Source organism: Homo sapiens, chromosome 7 (assembly GCF_000001405.40).
Source record: "Homo sapiens chromosome 7, GRCh38.p14 Primary Assembly".
Lineage (NCBI taxonomy): Eukaryota > Metazoa > Chordata > Mammalia > Primates > Hominidae > Homo > Homo sapiens.
The window spans coordinates 57,354,353-57,356,119 of record NC_000007.14 but is presented as its reverse complement, the minus strand read 5'-3'; positions in this window follow the sequence as shown (position 1 = coordinate 57,356,119).

The following is a 1,767-nucleotide window of genomic DNA, read 5'->3' as shown; positions in this document are numbered from 1 at the left end:
AAAGATAATATTTCAACTCACTGGGAAAATGGAATATTTAATCCAGGGCCCCAGCAGAGCCCACTATCAGCAAAAAATAAAAATGGACTCCCATCTTCTACTACAAATCCAGAGAGTTCACATAAAACACCTGGCTTGTCCGAAAGTCCCGACCACACTGGGCTCTCATTTTTGTAAGGCAGCAATGGACTGATGCTGAGTTGCATCTCAGGGACTCTCCACTTCACCACAGTCTCCACCACTCCCTACGGCATCCCACCTGACTGCCTTTAATCATCTGTGTGTCTTGCTTGGCCGTTCATAACCTCTGAACTCACTGCACAACAGAAGGACTCAGGGAACCTTTGAAGTTGGATTTCTGCTGTTAGCCACCTTTGTACTATTTTCATTTTTCTTAGTGGAAATGCGTATTTTCAGGAGGGATGTGGCTTGAGGCATGATTAAGTGCATGGACCTGGGCCGGGCGTGGTGGCTCATGTCTGTAATTCCAACGCTTTGGGAGGCTAAGGTGGGAGGAACTCCTGAGGCCAGGAGTTCAAGACCAGCCTGGGTGACAGAGTGAGACCCTGCCTCTAAAAAAGAAAGAAGAAAGGAAAGGAAGAAAGAAAGAAACAAAGAAAAAGAGAGAGGGAGAGAGAGAGAAAGAAAGAAAGAAAGAAAGAAAGAGAGAGAAAGAGGAGGGAGGGAGAAAGGAAGGAGAAGAAAGAAAGAAAGAAAAGAAAGAAAGAAAGAAAGAAAGAGAAAGAAACAAAGAAACAAAGAAAGAAGAGAAAGAAAGGAAGGAAAAAAGAAAGAAAGAGAAAGGAAGGAAGGAAGAAAGGGAGAGAGCATGGAGCCAGAAGCTAGAGAGGTTTGAGTAACCTCTGAAGAGTGACTTCCCCTCTCAGTGCCTCAGTTTTCTCCTCTGCCACATGGGGATAATAAGAGCTGTCACACGTCATGTTAGTTGCAGCGATTTGTGCCATTCTGCAAAATTCTTAGCCCAGGGCCCAGTGCAGAGTCAGTGCCAGGGAAACAGTGGTGATGACAAAAACCCTCCCTTCACATCTACGGCTTTTAGTTCTCAGGCTTCTAAGGGAGGAAAGAAAAAGGAAGAAACGGTGGGAGGAGAGGTGCAGAGCAGAGGATTTACTTTTACCTTTGATCTCCTTTTGCCAAAAAGGAGGGGAGAAAGTAAATAAACAGCCCTGACCTCCTTTGATTCCAGCGCCTGCCCGGCACAGAGCTCCAGAGCTGATAAGAACCAGCCAAGTTCTAATTGGGCAACTCCACCCTCCTGACCAGGCCTTCCCTTGGCATTTGGAATCCGGGACTCCAAAGCCCTCCCCTGCACCCCGCTGTCAGCGCACACTGTTAATTCTCTTCTCATCTTCCCAACCACGGGGGAAAAGATGGAGAGAAATTCCCCACTGTGGAACCCCACGCAAAACAATCGGGTGGGTTTGGAGATGAGAAAAGGGCCTTGGAAAGCGTTTTCCGAATACATTAGAAACCCAGTCCCCCGATCCCAGGAAGAAGCCCCCACACTGGGGACTTGTGGGAAAATGAAATGCTCAGGGATTTTTCCTGGCAATGAATTAAGCAGAAGGCAGGTGAAGTTCTTGGTGCAGAGCAGAACCACCCCTCCCATCCCCCAGTGGTTGGTGGAGAGAAGCTACATGGCACCGTAGGTAATGATGTAGCTTTGAACCCATTAGTTTATGGTGATGTGACTTTGGGCAAGTGACTCATCCCTGTCGAACTTCAGTTTCTCATCAGCCCTAGCAC